An 18,812-nucleotide genomic window follows, 5' to 3' on the forward strand; every position below is an offset into this window, starting at 1 on the left:
GCTCATCAAAGCTATAAAAATTAATCAATGCAAGTCTGTAAATCTTTTTATGGCTTCCAGTCAGGTCATAGACTCCAGTATCACCATCTCCAGCCTCTTGAAAATGTCCTTAACAGGTGCCATTAACTAATCCATGTGCTGTTAAGTTACAGGGCTTTGACTCCTAGATGGACATACCTCATCTAAAGAAGACGCTGACTCTGCCAGTATCTGATACCAATCTCAAGTCAACCAAAGCCTCATCTTTAGACCCAGACAAAGGCAACAATCAAAGTATACTGCCTTAATAGGACACAGGACAAGCCTGTATTAAAAAACATTAAGATTCATTTACTAATTCTGCCCCATCTGAATTAATATAATTTATTCTGTGCCTTAATTCTAAATAATTTAAATGTTTAGCTACCTGTGAGCTTCCTTTCCTGTCATTCTCAGAATGAGGCAAGGCTTATGACCATTTTGTTTGAAATGTTGCCAATTATGTTTTACTTTACCTCCAAAACTGAAACTATCCAATCCTTCTAGGCCCAGGGACTATTGCAGAAGTGGTGGTCATGTGATATTATAAGGGCTGGTTTTGAGGCATAAACTTAGTTCAGAACCTCCAAATCAAGGACAGGCACACAGATGCCTAAACAGCTAAACAAAATGCTTGTGTTTTGTATAACTAATTGCTACAAGCTAAGACTATAGCAGCCCAATGCATAAAATATATACATAAGTCAATTTTATAACTTTGTTTTTGGCTTTTGGTTTTCAGCTCTTATGCTGTTTAAAAGGAATTTTAAGGGTTAATGAGTGCCTGCCCACCTCCATTCTAATCTGGCCTGAAATGTTTAATTGGCTATAAGTCTTTTGACTCTAAGTTCCTTGGCCATAGGTGTCCCACTGGAGGGCATGACAGACCTGGGAAAGGTAGTCATACCACCCCAGCATTAGTATGGGACAAAGTAAAACTTGGCCATTGATACTGCCTCTGGCATATCTTTACCAAAAAAGAGGAAATATAAACCAAAAAATAAAATACTGAGTCCCCTACCAACTGAACAAACCCTCCCCCTTGGCCAAGGGAACCCCAAGAAAAACCCTTAAAAACTTAATCCCCAGCCATGATGGGATGGAAAGTCAGGCATGCCTCATTATATTCCCTCCATTTTATGATTTAGACACTACTATTGACCACTATTAATTATCATAAGACTGACAGAACAGGTTCTTTATGGCAATAAGCTATCAAATTATAAACAGGACCTAAGCCCATGCCAGAAAACGATTAAGTCTCCCCACAAGGTAAACGGAGTCATATGTTATATGCATGTTCGTTCAATATGCATGTGTCAGGACCACTTTCATAAATATTCATAGGTCCTCCTATAACTTGTTCAATTCGTACGTTTAGCCAACGTTTCATCATGTCCCCACAGGACCCCTGAGCATAATGGACAATGGAGAACAAACTTACTTTCTTATTGATATGGGGGGCTATATATTCTATAGTTAACATCTGCCTATCCTCTGATTCAAAAAAGACTGTGATGGTTGCAGGAATGTCAGGGCAAACTGTGACTCACCCCTTCCTACAACTTGTAGATTGTCATCTGAAAGACCACAATGACAGGAAAAACTAAAGAGAGAAGCCACACTCTAAAAAAATTGCATTGCCAAAATATGTCAAGAAAGTAATTTGACTTGGGATGAATTTTTCCCATTGCCTTACTCTGAGTCAAGGTAACATCCCGAAGTGGGAGCAGGTTGAACCCTTTTGAGATTGTTTATGGGAGACGCTCCCTGGGAGTCCCGCCTTTAGACCTAATAAATGAATTAAGAATTAAACAATACATACACCAGTTAGGACAGACATTACTAACCATGCATCAGTTTTCTGCTTCCAGGTCCTCATACCCTAGGGGCAAGCCCCTTCACCCTTTCCACCAAGAGTTAAGGTACTGCTAAAAAGTCTTGGAAAAAAACAAGGACCTGACTGGCAGCTAGTCAAAAATGGATGGGACTTATGATGCACTGCTGACCATGCATTCATCTGTCAAACTGGCTGGAATTAAACCCTGGATACATCACACTCAGGTGAAGGCTCATCCTCAACCTGATACCTCAGACAACCAGCCTGCCTGTTCATGTGTGCCAAGAAAAGACCTAAAGCTGTATTAAAGAAAAAAAACACACAGATAAGTACTATCCTTTTCTTAACATGAACTTAACAAGTTTTGTAGTCATGAATACATTATTTATCTCTGCTGAAACTAACCTTTTTGCTGAATGGGCACAAATGGTGGCTTCCCTCCAGAATAGAACAGACTGCTGAGTCTGTGGGGAATTGCCCTTTCTTCCACTGCAGGCTTGCCGTGGTGCGTGCAAGCCACCAACCTAAGTACTTGGAGTCATTTCTATACCTGGTATGGGGCAATTCACCCATTTCCCTTTCATGGCCATAACTCATCTCATCATAAGCCTCATGAATTTCCTATTTGCCAGGAAATCAGGAAACATGTTTTTCAACTAAGTTGCAACCAGGTCAATGTCATCTCCACCTTGGGATATGCTGTACACAGTGGTGTCAGATGGCTGACAGAGGTACAAATACAGGTAATAGGTCAAGCACCACTGTGCACTGAACACCACAACCGCAGCACACCTCAAGCTAACACCTGTAACATGGGATGGTTACCTCCCCAGGAATGTAATCAAACTCTTCAACTGACTAGCAACTATATGGCTGGGGTAGCAAAACAGCTCCTTCTCACATGGAGTCAACCCTTCCCCCGGGGCTGCTTATGGGCCTGTGGCACTCACAGTTGGCCCTTCCTATCCTTTGATTGGACTGGCAGATGCATCTGGGAGCACCCTTACCTACCAGGATGAATCCTGTTCCATCTAGACTCTGCCTGCCAACTGGGAAAGCACAAACGCCAGACACCACTGTCAAAAATGGGCATCCTGGTGGTTTTACCCACTAGCCATCTTTTTCCCCCAGGCAGTGACCATAGATGTAGAATTACAAGTAGAGGCCCTGGCTAAGCATATGGCTGCTGCCTTTAATAACACCCACCATGCCATCACTCTTCTTACTGAAGAAACTTCCAGATTAGGCAAGTGGCCTTACAAAACTATATGGCTGTAGATATCCTGACTGCAGCCTAAAGTGGCACTAGTGCATTAAGACTGTTGTCTATATATACTAGATTATTCTCACAATATAACCTAACCTATGCATGCATTGGATACTCATATTCTGCTATAGATACCTTCTCCCAATAACGGATTGGTTTAGTCAGCCCCTTAGTGCAGGGAAGACTTTCATATATAGCACGATTGGTATTTTGCTCATTGTCCTCTTCGGCTGCTGTGGATTTTATTGCTATTATATACTCTGCACAAGGATGCAGGAAAGATGTTCTCAGAAACTCCTATGTCCCTGCACCATAATGCTCCCGCAAATTCCTACTGCAAGTCTAGGAACTCAAGAATATTTCCAACTCCAGGTGGACAAATTCCATTCTGGTACCTCCTAACTATGGCCCTTCTCAGCGGGAAATAGCCAGATCGACTATGCCACCCACTTTCCATAGAAATGGAATGGAATTTCACAATGGAAAGTTGCAACTGAGTGGCTTAGGTTAAAAATGCATTTTTGAAACTGTTTTTTCTTTTCTTGCTTTTAGCCTTGAAAGCATACTTTGAAATTCTTGGTTTCCCTCCCTTCCCACCCGACACTCCCTTGTACTGCTGGCTTATCTAATTATGCGATTGCTTAGAAGTTCCAGGGGCTAATTTTGAGACAAATCAGACATGGAGACTCAGCTGTGAAATTCCAGAGATTACCTCAAGGAGGTTAGTCTACAACCTGGCCATCGTGAAGATGACACTAGCCTATGTTCCAGGTGGAGCATGACTCAAGATAGCCACTGGGACAGGACACACAGACCTTGCACCCAGCATCACTCCTGAATGCCTCCCACCCCAAGTGCCCCTTTTTAAACCCTCCCCAGCCTAAAGTTTGGAATGGTCTTAAAAGACCATTCCAAAGGCTGAGCTTGCATTCAGTTACACATATATGTAAAAGTCTCTTAATACAGTATATCTTTAACCAAAATTTACCTTCAAAGTGCTCTCTGTTAGCAAAACATCTTTCATTATACCACAGTTTTCCTTTCACATAGTCAACCTACATAAATAAATAAAATATCACTTAGCCAATATGTAGACTTAAGATATCTTAAGATATAAGATAGAAAAAACTAAAAAATTTCAAAGTTTGATAGTTCAGGAATGTGAGGCAAAGAGACAAAAATTGTATGCAAATAAAAGACTGTAGAATGAGGACAGGAAACAGGAATATACATTTTGAACAATGCACAAAAAAGGCATAAAGAGAAAAGAAATCACACATGAATTAGCATATGTTAATGGAGGATGCCCTTGTCTATGAACTGTCTTTCAGAAGCTACCAGAAGCCATTAGTCTTTCAGCACAGTTACAATGGGTCACATATTTATCTTTTATTCCTCATTAGTGGCAGCTGGGTTTAAGGAGCATTCCCAGAAGCCTGACAGCAGCAAGAAGAAACAGGAAAAAGGTTTTGAAAATTGGTCATGAGAGACAAGCTTCAATATATTGAATATGTTGGATATAAATGTTGGATATTAATTAAATGCAACAGTTTGAGATTATTTTATTATAGGAAGATTCTGACCTTCAAATTTCTGTTGGGATGTAAGAAAGACTTTTTTACATTTTTATAGACTAATAATAAAATCTGTATGATCTGTGTGCAAAAGCCTTTGCTGATATCTAATGACAAAACTTGAACACATGAGGAGACACTTCTTTTTTTTTTTTTTTTTTTTTTAAATTGAGAAGGAGTCTTACTCTGTTGCCCAGGCTGGAGTGCAGTAGCACAATTTCGGCTCACTACAAACTCCACCTCTCAGGTTCAAGTGATTCTCCTGCCTCAGCCTCCTGAGTAGCTGGGATTATAGTCACACGCCACCACGCCTGGCTAATTTTTTTTGTATTTTAGTAGAGACAAGGTTTCACCATGTTGGCCAGGCTGGTCTCGAACTCCTGACCTCAAGTGATCCACCCCCCTCGGCCTCCCAAAGTGCTGGCATTATAGGTGTGAGCCACTGCGCTGACCGAGGAGTCACTTTATTTATTGATTGATTGATATGGGGTCCTGGCTCTGTCACCCAGGCTAGAGTGCAGTGGCATGATCGTAGCTCACTCCAGCCTCAAACTCTTCAGCTTAATAAATCCTCCCGCCTCAGCCTCCCAAACAGCTGGGACTACAGGTGTGCACCACCATGCCTGGGTAATTTTTTAATTTTTTGAGGGAAAGGAGTCTCACTATATTGCCCAGGCTAGTCTAGAGCTCCTGAACTTAAGCAATTCTCCTGCTTTGGCTTTGTAAAGCACTGGGACTATAGGCATGAGCCACTATGACTGGCCGCCAACGAATTTTTTTAAGTATCTACATTGTGCCATGTACTGTACTGAGATTTTTCATATGTAATGTTACTTAATCACCTCATTTCTAAGAGGTAGATATTGTTATGCTCATTTTAAAATGAAGAAATTGAGGTCCAGAGAGTTATACAACTTGTTCAAAATTTTATGTTACATGGCTGATAAGTTAGTCCAAAATTTGAATCCAGTCTGTCTTCATTTATTCACTCATTGACTCAATAAATATTCATTGAGACTGCCTATGTGCAAGGCCGTGTGGTAATTTATCGGGATACAATAGTAAATAAGATAGATCTTGACCGGAACCTAAAATCTTGTGAGGCTAGTCTGGGGGCTCAACAGACAAAATAGGGTGATAATGATAGGAATTTGTGCTGAGAACTTGGAGCATGCACAGGAGGAGCACCTTGGTGGTCAGGGAGGGATTTCTGAAGAATGAGTTGAAATTCTCTAAGTGAAATAGGAGGAAGCAGTGCATGCTAAGAAGACAAAACATGTTATGCAAAGGAGTCGAGGTGTGAGAAATGTTAGCACATTCAGGGAAGGTGAGTGGTTTAGCATGGCCAGGCAGGATGGCTGCAGTAGGGGCAGGATGGCTGCAGGTAGAGGCAGGCACACTCAGGCTGAAGCAGTAAGCATTTTGTGTGTCACAAGAATTTTAATTTTATCCTTAAAGAAGTGATCCATATTCCTTGCTGTTGCCACTAAACAGATTTTGGTGGATAACTAACAGATTTTATCTCATGCCAAATCCCTAATTTAGGGATCTTATACTTCCTATTACCTTTGACTGGAAATGCTGTGTCAAAATAATTATTCCAAGTTACTCAAGTTTCTGCTTAAATTTCATCTCTTTGAAAAGGCCTGCTTTAATCACCCTATTTAAAACAGAATATTATCTTCCCCTCACTCTTTCTCTTACTCTGCTTTAATTTCAACGAGCACTTATTACTATCTAAAATCACATTATGTATTTGTTTGTGTATTTTTTAATGATCTAGCCCCCTCAGTTGAATGTTAAGCTACATGAAAGTAGGGACTTTGTCTCGTTCACTATGGAATCATTCTTGTCTGAATAAGCATGGAATATAGGAAGTGCTCAACAAATATTTGTTGAATGGATGAGACTTACTGAATGAATAAATCATTAAGTATTCACATGTTCAACTACCTGTCTAAACACCCACATATATCTCATTCTGAACACCTTTGCTTCAATCATTAGTAAAAGAGGTCTTATTTAAAGATAGATCCTTAAACTCTTAAAAATAATTTCACTTTTTCCCCTCCCTCCACTCCCCAATCCCAGCACCCTTCTACCTTTGGAACACTGTATTTCCCCTCTCCCTCATCACTATCAACCATCAATGAGTTTTACTAAGATATTTTAGTTTAATAGGACTTATTATAATATCCTTGCTAATTATAAAAACTTCCATGAAGGACAATTCGTGATTATTTTTTAAAAGTGCATAAGTATTTATCCCTTGATCTCCCAATCAAGTTCTAGGATGTATTGTATCTATATGTCTGGACACATAAAATTTCTAGGTACAAAATTATTCATGGGAGCATTGTTTGTAATAGCAAAATATTGGGAAATTACCCAAGCATCCAGCAATGGATGATAATTTAAATAAACTCTGGCTAGTTCATACAATGGAATACTTGTAGCTGGAAAAAAGAAACAAAAAACAAAAGAAAAAGAGGCTATTCTCCATTTACTAATATGGATTTTTTCCTATGATAATTATTGATAAGTGAAGAAAATAATTTAGCATACTTTGTATATAGTATAATAAAAGGAAGAAAAGTATATATATTCATTATATTCATAATTATTTGAATTTCCATTAGAAAATGCTGAAAAGATATAAAATAAAAAAAGATTACCTGTAAGGGACAGGGAAAAATCAGGGTGAATATACAGAGAGGTGGGATAGAGACTTCTCAGTCTATATCTTTTTGTAACTTTTTTAGTTTTTAACTATGTGAATGTATTACCTATTTGAACATCATAATTTTTAGGTGTTGAAAATGCTCATTTCCCTTGCAACATGTCCTTTCTTGCTATAGGCTGTATGGGAGGGAGGTGGGGCCTTTGGGAGGTGATAAGGTGAATGGAATTAGTACCCTTATTTGATGTGGGGGTGATTCAGTGAATCGAATTAGTCCTCTTATAAAAGAGAACCCAGGGAGATCCCTTGCCCCTCTGCCACGTGAGGGCACAGTGAACAGATGGCTGTCTATGAACCAGGAAGGCAGCCCTCACCAGACACTGAATTTGCCTGTGCCTTTATCTTGGACTGTCCAGGCTCCAGAACTGTGAGAAATAAATTTCTGTTCTGTATAAGCCACCCAGTCTATGGTAATTTTGTTATAGCAGCCCACATTGGCTAAGATGTCTCTGTTCAAAAATCCTTATCTAAGCTGGGTGCGGTGACTCACGCCTGTAATCCCAGCACTCTGGGAGGCCAAGGTGGGTAGATCACTTGAGGTCAGGAGTTTGAGACCAGCCTGGCTAACATGGTGAAACCCTATCTCTACCAAAAATACAAAAATTAGCTGAGCGTGGTAGAACACACCTGTAATTCCAGCTACTCAAGAGACTGAGGCAGGAGAATTGCTTGAACCCAGGAGGTGGAAGTAGCACTGAGCCGAGATCACCACTGCACTCCAGCCTGGGTGACAGAGGGAGAGTGTCTCAAAAAAAAAAAAAAAAAATCCTTATCTAGTACTCCATTTTGATTTATATGGATAGACAGAAAACACACGAATAAATATGAGATAAAATGAGAGAAACAGCCAAGCATTTCTTATCACTAGTCCTCTCCTCATTTTCTTCCCCTTTATTGAAATGTCTGTTCTTTTTCATTTGTTTTATTAAAGTTCTTTCTTGAGTATTTTCCTTAGTTGGGATAACCAGGTCATAAACTTTTTTAATCTGAAAGATGAATAATCTCTTGTCTGGAAATAGAAATTCTGGACTTTGGTTCTTTTGTCTTAAGTAGACGGTAGATGTTGATTTCACGGTCTTCAAGCTTCTACTGTTGTATAAACAAAATCTAATACCAGTGAGGTGTATTTTGCTTTTGCTCTTTCTGTTTGGATACTTGTAATATTTCCCCCTTAACCTTAAAACTGAGGAATATATTCCTTGGATATGCCTACATTTTTTCAGTGCTCCCTGGAATTTAGTGGATTGTAATATATAGCCTTGGAATTTTCTTAATCTCAGTTAATGTTCTTTCATTTTTTTTTATTATTGCCTGTCTTATATCTGTTCCTTTTTAAATCCATCTGAAAACTCTTTTGCTCACCTGTTAGCCCTTCTGGATCTCTCCTCAAAGGCTCACTTTTGCCCTTGTGATTTCTAGTGATGTTCCTTAGATGGTTTGAGAAGTTTCTTCATCTTGATTTTCCATGCCACTACTCTGCATTTAAACAGTGGCCATTCTATCTTTCAATTTTTTCCATTTTTAATGGAAATTTTGGTATTCAGTCCCAGGAAGTATTTTTATGCTGCACTTGAAGCTCTTTATTGATATTGACTGTGTTCTTGCTAATACCTCAGTGCCAATGATGGTAATCACAGAGTAGGTGCTCACTGGGTATCTGTGAAATGATTTTATTTAAAAATGTTCTCGTTCAATTGTTGCCTTATCCACCAGCGACTCTAGTTTTATTCTAATGATCTTTGCTCTCAGAATGCCAGGCTACCTTAAGTGTGCTTTGAAGAGAGGGCTCAGGTATGGTTTGTGGAGCACCTCGAATTTTGACAATTGGAATAATAGATGGCAAAGTGGTCTCTAGCCCTCTGGGCTGCCATGCCACCACCTTGGAAACAGAAGGGGTTCCCCTCTTTCCAGGTCTCCTTCAACCTGCCTACCTCAGGCACAGGGAGAATGCAGCTCTCCCGGTAGGCCCATCTCTAGCCTTACTCTCAGCCACACTCCCAAAACTGAGAAAACCCTTCCCTAGGATTTCGCGGAGCTCTGCCAGCCAAACTCCCTCCAGAATCCTTCCCCTTCCCAGTCCTCTACTCCCCGCTCTGTGTTGCCAGCACTTTGTTCTCAGGTAAACCATGAGTGAGGTAACGACATGCCAGATCTCCTCAGTGAGATTCCTCAAAGCAGGCTCCCAGTGAGCCCAGCTGTCCAGTGGCCCCAGCAGCCTTTTTTGACTTAGCAGGGCAGGTAGGCTGAAGATGAAAGCTAAAGGGAGTTAAAGGTCACAGTCTCCTCCATCCATTTATGTTACTTTTTGTGTGATTCTTCTTTAGGTGTAACTTTTTAAAATATATATTATCTTTTCTTCAGTTTCCTATAATGTTCCTTTCCACTTATTGTAATTGCTGAGATATTTGGATTTATTTCTACTGTTTTACCTCATAGTTTTTCTATTCTTTTACCTTTATCTCTCCTCTCCTTTCTTCCTTTTTGTAGAATAGATGGATTATTCTTTAATCTTGTTTTCCTTCGTCTGGTGGTTTGGAAGTTTTAGGTTATATTCTTTTTGTCTTATTTTAGTTTTTTGGTAATTATCCTTCAATTCTTAACATATATGCTGAATTGCACATTTTTCTAACAAATTCTTAACTTATTCCCCATATTGGTTCTCCTTACAAAGATCTTAAATACTTTATTATCCACTGAAAACTACTGCCATTTCTCCTTGTTATATTGTCTAGAGTTTTGGTTCCATCCAATTATTAAACACAAAATGTATAACTTATTTTTAATTTAATTTATTTTAATTTTTATTTTGAGACAGAGTCTAGCTCGGTCACCCAGATTGGAGTGCAGTGGCACGATCTCGATTCACTGCAACCTCCGCCTCCTGGGTTCAAGCAATTCTCATGCCTCAGCCTCCCGAGTAGCTGGGATTACAGGCATGTACCAACATATCTGGCTAATTTTTGTATTTTCTGTAGAGACAGCATTTCGTCATATTGGCCAGGCTAGTCTATAACTCCTGACTTCAGGTGATCCACCCGCCTCAGCCTCCCAAAGTGCTGGGGTTACAGGCGTGGGCTATCGCGCCTGGCCATAACTTATTTTTTATACCAATTCCATTCTTTGAACACATATTTACTAAGTGCATACCTTGTGTCAGGTGCCATTCTAGACACTGGGATCTAGTAGCAAACAGCATAGACAGGGCTCCTGCTCTCCCAGGTCTTAGAACTTACATTCCAGTTTTCCTCACTGTTTCTGGCATCCTACTCCTTCATGGGAATTTCTGGATGGTAAACCCTCCCAATGTCTTTGGGTGTGAACATTCTCTTTTCACTCTCATTCTTGAGATACATAGTTTAGCTAGGTATGGAATTCTATTTTGACAGTTATTTCCCTCTATTCTTTATAATGCAAATCATTTTTGCCCATCTGGCTCTCTCAGTTATCTGCTCTACTTGTCCTCTGATTAGTATGACAATTAGTCAGTTCTATTTGCTTCCTGAGAAATAAATGTTCCTTTCTCATAGACAGTGTGAATGTGGGTATATGTGCACATGCACATGTGCACACAGACTGGAGCCTGCACAGTCCAAGATAAAGGTGCAGGCAGATTCAGTGCCTGGCGAGGGCCACCTTTCTGGTCCATAGCCATCTGCTCACTCTATGAGGACAGAATAGGGAGGGCATATGGCAAATGGCTAGGAACACTCATGATTTCATTTGTGGTTTTCCAACCGAAGCATGCTTATATGCTGATGGGAATGACCTAGTTCATTAATCACAAAACTTGACTTTTTAACATATAAGGGAGATAACTGATGGAACAAAATCCCCCAAAAGGCCAGAAGCAGACCAGTGACTAGATTATATGACATTTTTTGTAAGTTAGAAAAGGTACCCCTTTCTCGAAGTAGAACAGACTTACACTGGGGTAGATGGATTGAGGAGTAAAGTGTTAGCCAGACCCCACCACCTTACTCTCTTCAGTCAAGTGTACTTGTGCAGAATCCAAACTGAACAACCATAGCTAGCCTGGACATAGCATAGGAAACGGGGTGGGGGTGACCTCTGAAACAGGGAGGAGCACTTCTTCCTTTGAAGCAGAAGAGGTGAGCACTGCTTAATGGTTGCTACGAATATATGTATAAATAATATATGCTACAAATTCATATATATAAAAAAATATATATTTTGTTTAAACTATAAATAATATAGTAACTGGAATAACTTATATTGTGAATTATTGTCTTGCATCTCATCTCAAGTTACCAAGTAAACACATATCTTCTAACCAGCCCTGGGAAATATAAAGCTTCTTACCCTTTCAAAACCACAAAAGTCTGCCCTGGAAAACTAGAAGAAAAGAAGAAACTTTAATTTTTGCTTGCATATCAGAAGGCCTAACAAAACATAGCAATTTAAATTATACTAAAGGAAATAAACCATATAAATTCGTTGAAACAAAATTATAACTAAATTATATGTTTTTTCTATCCTAGCAGTTAGGATAGCCAAACACTAAAAGCAAACTCTGATATAGTTTATACAATATCCAGGGAATTTCCCCATCAGTCTTTGCCTCATTTCATTATTTTATTAATTTACTTATACTTTAGTGTGATTCCAGAAAGGATTTGAGACGAAAACCATGCCTTTTAATGATTTAAATGGAGGAATTAAGAAGTGTGCAGGTGGGCCTGGCACGGTGGCTCACACCTGTAATCCTAGCACTTTGGGAGGCCGCGATAGGCGGATCACGAGGTCAGGAGTTTGAGACCAGCCTGGCCAACATAGTGAAACTCCGTTTCTCCTAAAAATACAAAAATTAACTGGGCGTGGTGGTGCATGTCTGTAATCCCAGCTACTTGGGAGGCGGAGGCAGGAGAATTGTTTGAACCTAGGAGGCGGAGATTGCAGGGAGCTGAGATCACGCCACTGCACTCCAGCCTGGTAACAGAGCGAGACTCAGTCTCAAAAAAAAAAAAAAAAAAAAAGAAGAAGTGTGCTGGCATATGCAAGTCTGCCGCCCATTTGGGTTTAGGAAGGCACACCCTCAACCTATTATTTTCTCCTTTGCCACTCTGTTCCTTCTGCCCAGGCCAGAGCAGTCCAGAGGTCAGGACTTACAATATACAATCCCCGTCTACTTCTCTGCACTTTGATTTTAAGCCATTGTAGCGTTCCTGGTTTCAACTCTCTGTTTTAGCAATTATATAATAAGCATTTTAAAAACCCCAGATCCCCTAGTCATCTGAGCAACAAATGGTACTTTCTCAGAGATGGTGAGGAAGGCTCAGGTATATGTGAATATTCTTATACCTGAAGAAAGATAATAATTACCATGTATAAGAAATATCTGTGTCTCAATCAATACCATTTCCCCTTCTTTACTTCCCTCTATCTTTTCTCCTACCGATCCCAAGTCTTTATTGCTTGTCTCATCTCTGTTGTGGTAATTTTTGAGAGGTACTTGTTAACATGTTTAAGAATTTTATGGTATGCATATTAACAATCTTCACCTAAACGTGTATTTCCCTTCGCTCAATCCCAATACTTACTTTTCACTTATGTTACTTTGTAATACTATATGTGGCTTTATAAATTACCTTAAAGCATTTGGGTAACATATATAGCTATAAATAAATGGATCAATCAATAGGTAGGTAGACAGATCTTTTCTGCATGTATACATTTAAAACTTACTATAAATTTGTAGAGCAATACAACTAGCACCACTTCCAAATTATATATTCAATACTACGAGGTAAAGGAAAAAGTTACTGTATTATGCCTTTATGTTTTTCGAAAGAAAGAAGCATTTCAATTTTAAGATACACCACACATAACTCAAGTATTAAATATTTCTTTTTGTGTCACAGAAGATATTTAAGATTAGCTATTAGTTACAAAGCAATTTACATACCGATAAGCTGTGGCGTGATGGATAACGAAGATCTTCACTTACAAAAAGGCCCAAAGAGGTGAGGATAACTAAAAAATGATTCGTTAAAACCATATCCACCAATGAAAGGTCTTCATATTCTAAACGAAGAAATCATACCATGGATTAAAAAGTAAGAAAAAAGTGAGTTCCTTACTGAAGCAAAGACATTTTATAGATATTAATCAAATATTGATGTAAGTAAAATGCTCAAGATGAAGGCAATGTTAGAGGAGTTACCTTCTTGAAGTTGGGAATAGATAGTCTGTGTCATGTTAAACCATGTGGTATCATAATCATGCCAGAATCCACCAAAGGTTATGCCTATGTAAACACCTACCATGAAACAAAAGGAAAATTAAAGCCAGGCAACTTTACAAGGTGAGTCACCTTCAGGGGCAAGAGCCCAGAGTCCGTTCCAACTCCCTCTCAGCACTATGACTCTCACTTCCCAAAGCATTGGAAAGATGAAGTAACTTCAAGTTACACCACATAATATTAGCCAACCATCTGATTGACTCCTAGAATGATTACTGCTGGGAATAATATGCCCTTAAAATCAACCCTCTTAAGGTATTGGTTCATTCTCTTAAAATATCTTCCAAATTGTACTGTATCTTTTTTTACGTAGAAGGGCATCAGAATATGCCAAATATGCCACTTTAGTTTAAGGATTTTTTTTTTGACCTGAAGGCAATTGAGAATCAATAAGTGCAGTCTCTGCCCTCCCTTTATCTGCTTAAAAGCAAAGCATAAATTGCTCCTTTTACCAGAAAAAGAAGAGCATTTTTATCACTGGAGATAGGGAACCCTTATCTGCCATTAGTTCCCCTATATATTTTCTAGTCACAACTTCCTTACAGCTAATTGTTCCTTGATTCCTAAATCCACTTCCTTTGTGAAAATGGTATATAATTTCCTGATTTAACCACTTGATCTTCACTTCTATTTGTGAACTGCCATGCACATAAATAATAAAAAAAAATTGTGTGCTTTTTATCCTGTTACTCTGTTATTTGGGCTGGGCATGGTGGCTTACGCCTATAATCCCAGCACTTTGAGAGGCCAAGGCAGGAGGATCACTTGAGCCCAGGAGTTTGAGACCAGCCTGGGCAACATGGTATAACCCTGTCTCTACAAAAAATACAAAATTAGCTGGGCATGGTGGTGCATGCCTGTAGTCCCAGCTACTCAGAAGGCTGAGGTGAGAGGATCGGTTGAGCTTGGGAGGTCAAGGCTGTAGTGAACTATGATCATGCGACTCCAGGCTGGGAGACAAAGAGAGACCCTATCTCAAAAAAAAAAAAAAAAAAAAAAAAAAAAGAAATCTGTTGTGTGGATTTAATTCATAGAGCCCTATTCACTAAGCATAAGAGAACAGAGGAAAATTTTTCCTCCCTAACAGTACCCTTCTAAGCATAAAGATGCTCCTATTTCAGGAGTACAATTTTAGTTAATAATAATTTTTAAAAACTCCAAAGAAGAAAATTAAAATGTAAACTCCAAGACAGGAGAAACTATGATTTACTTTTTTATTTGTGATTTTAAAAACAGAGAAAACTTTTGCTAAAGTTTCACTAAAACCTTGTAAATGAAGAAGATTGAACACATCACAAATCCTAAAGTACTTTGTTCCCCAACCCCACCTTTTCTTGGTCATAGGTAGGAATGTCTAGAGTCTTTTGTGTTTTAAATGTGAGGTGCTGATCTGAAGTTTTGTCAAAGGACATAACTACTGGGCTGGGGAGGAGGGGAGGCTAAGGAACCTTGGCAATCTAACGCATATACTTTATTTCCAAAAGAGGACATTTGTAGAACGAGTCATATTTTGAAGTGTGAGTTTTAACTCTCAGCTCTTTTCTGTTTAAGGAAAGCTGTAGAAGGAAGTGTTATTTATTATTGTATACTTTTTCCAGGAAGAGGAAAACTAAAGACAAACTTTGCCTTTCTGAGAATTAAGTTTAGTTTTACAGATAATGGTGGGAATTTTTTTTTTTTTTTTTTTTGATAGAGTCTCACTCCGTCATCCAGGCTGGGGTGCAGTGGCGCAATCTCCACTCACTGCAACCTTCGCCTCCCAGGTTCGAGCAATTCTCGTGCCTCATCCTCCTGAGTAGCTGGGATTACAGGTGTGCACCACCATGTCTGGCTAAATTTTAGTATTTTTGGTAGGGACAGGGTTTTGCCATGTTGGCTAGGCTGGTCTTGAACTCCTGATCTCAAGTGATTCGCCCACCTCAGCCTCCAAAAGTTCTGAAATTACAGGTGTGAGCCACCACCCAGCCTAACGGTGGGATAGTTTAAGTGGGAATAATTATAGATGTCCAGCATGCTATCACATGACCAGATTCTTGCAAAAAAACACTATTTAATGGAGACATCATAAAATAAACACTTTATGCTGGTTAATATTTACAGACTAAAATTAAGTTACAGGCTACTCTCTGTGACAAACTATCCCAGGGCTTACAGAAGCTGATGCAGACCATTGTGAAAAGTTTAGCTTTTATTCTATTGGCAAAGGGAAGCCACAGGAGTGTTGGAAGCAGGGAAGTGATGTGATCTGGTTTATACTTGAGAACATCACTCTGGTGGGTGTATGGAGGCTGATTTGTATTGGCACAAGAATGGAAATAGAGAGACCACTTAAGAGGCTAATTAGTCTAATAAAAAATGTTGACTTGACCTAAGATTTTAGCAGAGAAGTGAGGTGGTCACATTGGCGATGGACCCTGGAGACAGCACAATCGGGGAATGTTGTGAGGGTAAGAAGCAGTCAAGAATGTGTCCTAGATTTCAGTTCTGACCAATTTAATACTAATTGGGATGAGAAATACTGGAGAGAAACAGATTTTTTGAGGGAGATGGATCAAGAGTTCTGGATCAGACTTGCTGTATTTGAGATGCTTATTAGCCATCAAGAAGAAATGCGTAATAGACAACTGAAGAGAGGAGTAGTTTTGTTTCAAAGGAGGGGTCAGCAGCAGCAATATAGATTTGGGAATCATCAGCCTGAAGATGGCATTACTGCCATCAGACTGGATTAAGTCTTCTGGAGGGAGAATGTGGTAACTTAAGGAAGGACAGTCAAAAACAAAGCCCTAGGTTTGCATTTAGGGGTCACACCAAAAAGGAGCCCTCCTAGAAAACTAAAGAGTGACCAATGAGAAAATATAAAGAACTTGAAAGTGGTATCAAGAAAGCTAAAAGAAGAAAGTGTTTTGAGCAGAGACTGGTCGACCCTGTTAAATGCTGCTGGAAAGGAAAGTAGAATGGGCATAAAAGACTGGCTGTTGGAACTGGCAATATGGAAACTGTGAGTGGCCTTGAGAAGAAATGTTTTAGTACGGTGATGGAAACCAGAGTCTGATTTGTAGTGGAAAGAAGATAAAATGGGAGGTGGAAAAACAGCATCATCTGCATTAAATTCTGGCCTTAAATATTTTTTTTTTGAAAGGGAACAGAGAAGTGGAGATGGAAGTAAAGTGAGATAAACGAAGGTTTTGTTTAAGATGGGGGATATTAGGGTATGTCTCTATCCTAACGGATACAATCCAGTGAGGAGGAAGAGTATGATGATGTTGGAGAGAAAGATGAGAATTGCACAACAGATGTAAGAGCAAGGTTGTTCAGATGGCTGCAAGGAATGGGATCCAGAACACAAGGGCTGAGGGGTAGCCTTTGATTGCAGCAGAGATATTTCTTACAGTGCAACAGGCAGTAAAGGCAAAGCATACAAATGCAGGTATGATGGCAGATTTCCAGTTGCAACAGTGGGGTTTCTATAATCAATCTTTATTTTCTCTGAAGTATTATATAAAGGCACAGCCAAGAGTAAGAGGGGAAGAGTATTTGAGGAGTGGAAAGAAGTGTGATAAATTTTGCAGAGTGGGAAAATAAATATACAAGCGAAGAGTGATAGGATTTATAGGCAGTACTCTTTATAGGGAGTACTGAGTGCCCACTTAAGATTCATGATCATGAATTTAGAGTGAGACTGGTCAGTGAAATGTCAAAATGAGACTAGCATGCAATTTTTCCCCAGCAATATTCTGCTCTTGCAGGGCAGGAGCAGAGATGGTTTTAGAGTTGGGGTTGGGCAGGCAAGGAGGAAAAAGAAGGGCAAGGGAGTTACAGAAGTATTTAAAAAGATGGGCTCTGAGAATTATGGTGAGAACAGAGGAAAATAAGGATGTTGGGTAGTGAAAAAAGTGATAGTGAAAATGGATTAAGGTCTCAATGAGATCAAAGAAATGTTGGAGTGTGAGTACTAGAACAGACAAAGAATAAGAGGCAGTGGACAGAGTGTACGATGCAGATACTACGGATTTCAGAGCTAATGACATTAGAGATGACAAGGTCAAGAGTTTAATCATTTACATCTTTACTCCATCTTGAGTTAACTTTTGTATATGGAGAAAGGCAAGGATCCAGTTTCATTTTTCTTTTGTGTATGGCTAGCCAGCTACCCCAGCACCATTTATTGAATAGGGTCTTTTCCCTAATGCTTATTTTTGTTAACTTTGTTGAAGATCAGATGGTAGTAGGGGTGTGGCTTTATTTCTGGATCCTCTATTCTGTTCCATTGGTCTATGTGTCTGGTTTTGTACCAGTGCCATGCTGTTTTGGTTACTGCAGTCTTGTAGTATAGTTTGAAGTTGGGTAATGTGATACCTCAGGCTTTGTTCTTTTTGCTTAGGATTGCTTTGGTTATTTGGGCTCTTTTTTGTTCCATATGAATTTTAGACTAGTTTTTTCTAATTCTGTGAAAAATAACATTGGTAGCTTGATAGGAATAGTATTGAATCTGTAGATTGCTTGGGCAGTATGGCCATTTAGATGGTAATGATTCTTCCAATCCATGAGCATGGACTGTTTTTCCATTCGTTTGTATCATCTATGATTTATTTGAGCAGTGTTTTGTACTCCTCCTTGTAGAGATCTTTCACCTCCTTGGTTAGATGTATTCCTAGGGGTGTGTGTGTGGTGGGGGGTATTGTAAATGGGATTGTGCTCTCGATTTGGCTCTCAGCTTGAATGATTTTGGTGTATAGGAATGCTACTGATTTTTCTACATTGATTTTTGTATCTTGAAACTTTACTGAAATTGTTTACCAGTTCTAGGAGCTTTTTGTTAGAGTCTTCAGGGGTTTCTAGGTATAAAATCATATTGTCGGCAAAGAGAGAGAGTTTGACTTCTTCTGTTGGATGCCTCCTTCTCCTATTTGGATGCATTTTGTTTCTTCCTGTTGCCTGATTGCTCTGGCTAGGACTTCCAGTACTGTGTTGAATAGAAGAGGTGAGAGTGAGCATCCTTGTCTTGTTCTGGTTCCCAAGGGAAATGCTTCCAGCTTTGGCCAGTTCAGTATAATGTTATCTGTGTGTTTGTCATAGATGTCTCCTATTATTTTGAGGTATGTTCCTTCAATGTC

At 39.3% G+C, this 18,812-nt stretch overlaps 1 protein-coding gene across 1 annotated transcript in view; it reads right to left on the reverse strand.

Moving 5' to 3' along the window:
• CATSPERB (catsper channel auxiliary subunit beta) overlaps positions 1-18,812 on the reverse strand; it is a 151,389-nt gene that overhangs the window by 99,066 nt on the left and 33,511 nt on the right. Inside the window, exons 8-11 of the mRNA NM_024764.4 lie at positions 13,621-13,716; positions 13,363-13,481; positions 11,760-11,792; positions 4,114-4,180 (exon numbers count right to left, since the gene is read on the reverse strand). Coding sequence (NP_079040.2) covers positions 4,114-4,180; positions 11,760-11,792; positions 13,363-13,481; positions 13,621-13,716 — 315 coding nt within the window. The remainder of the gene's footprint in view (positions 1-4,113; positions 4,181-11,759; positions 11,793-13,362; positions 13,482-13,620; positions 13,717-18,812) is intronic.

This window comes from Homo sapiens, chromosome 14 (genome assembly GCF_000001405.40).
Source record: "Homo sapiens chromosome 14, GRCh38.p14 Primary Assembly".
NCBI lineage: Eukaryota > Metazoa > Chordata > Mammalia > Primates > Hominidae > Homo > Homo sapiens.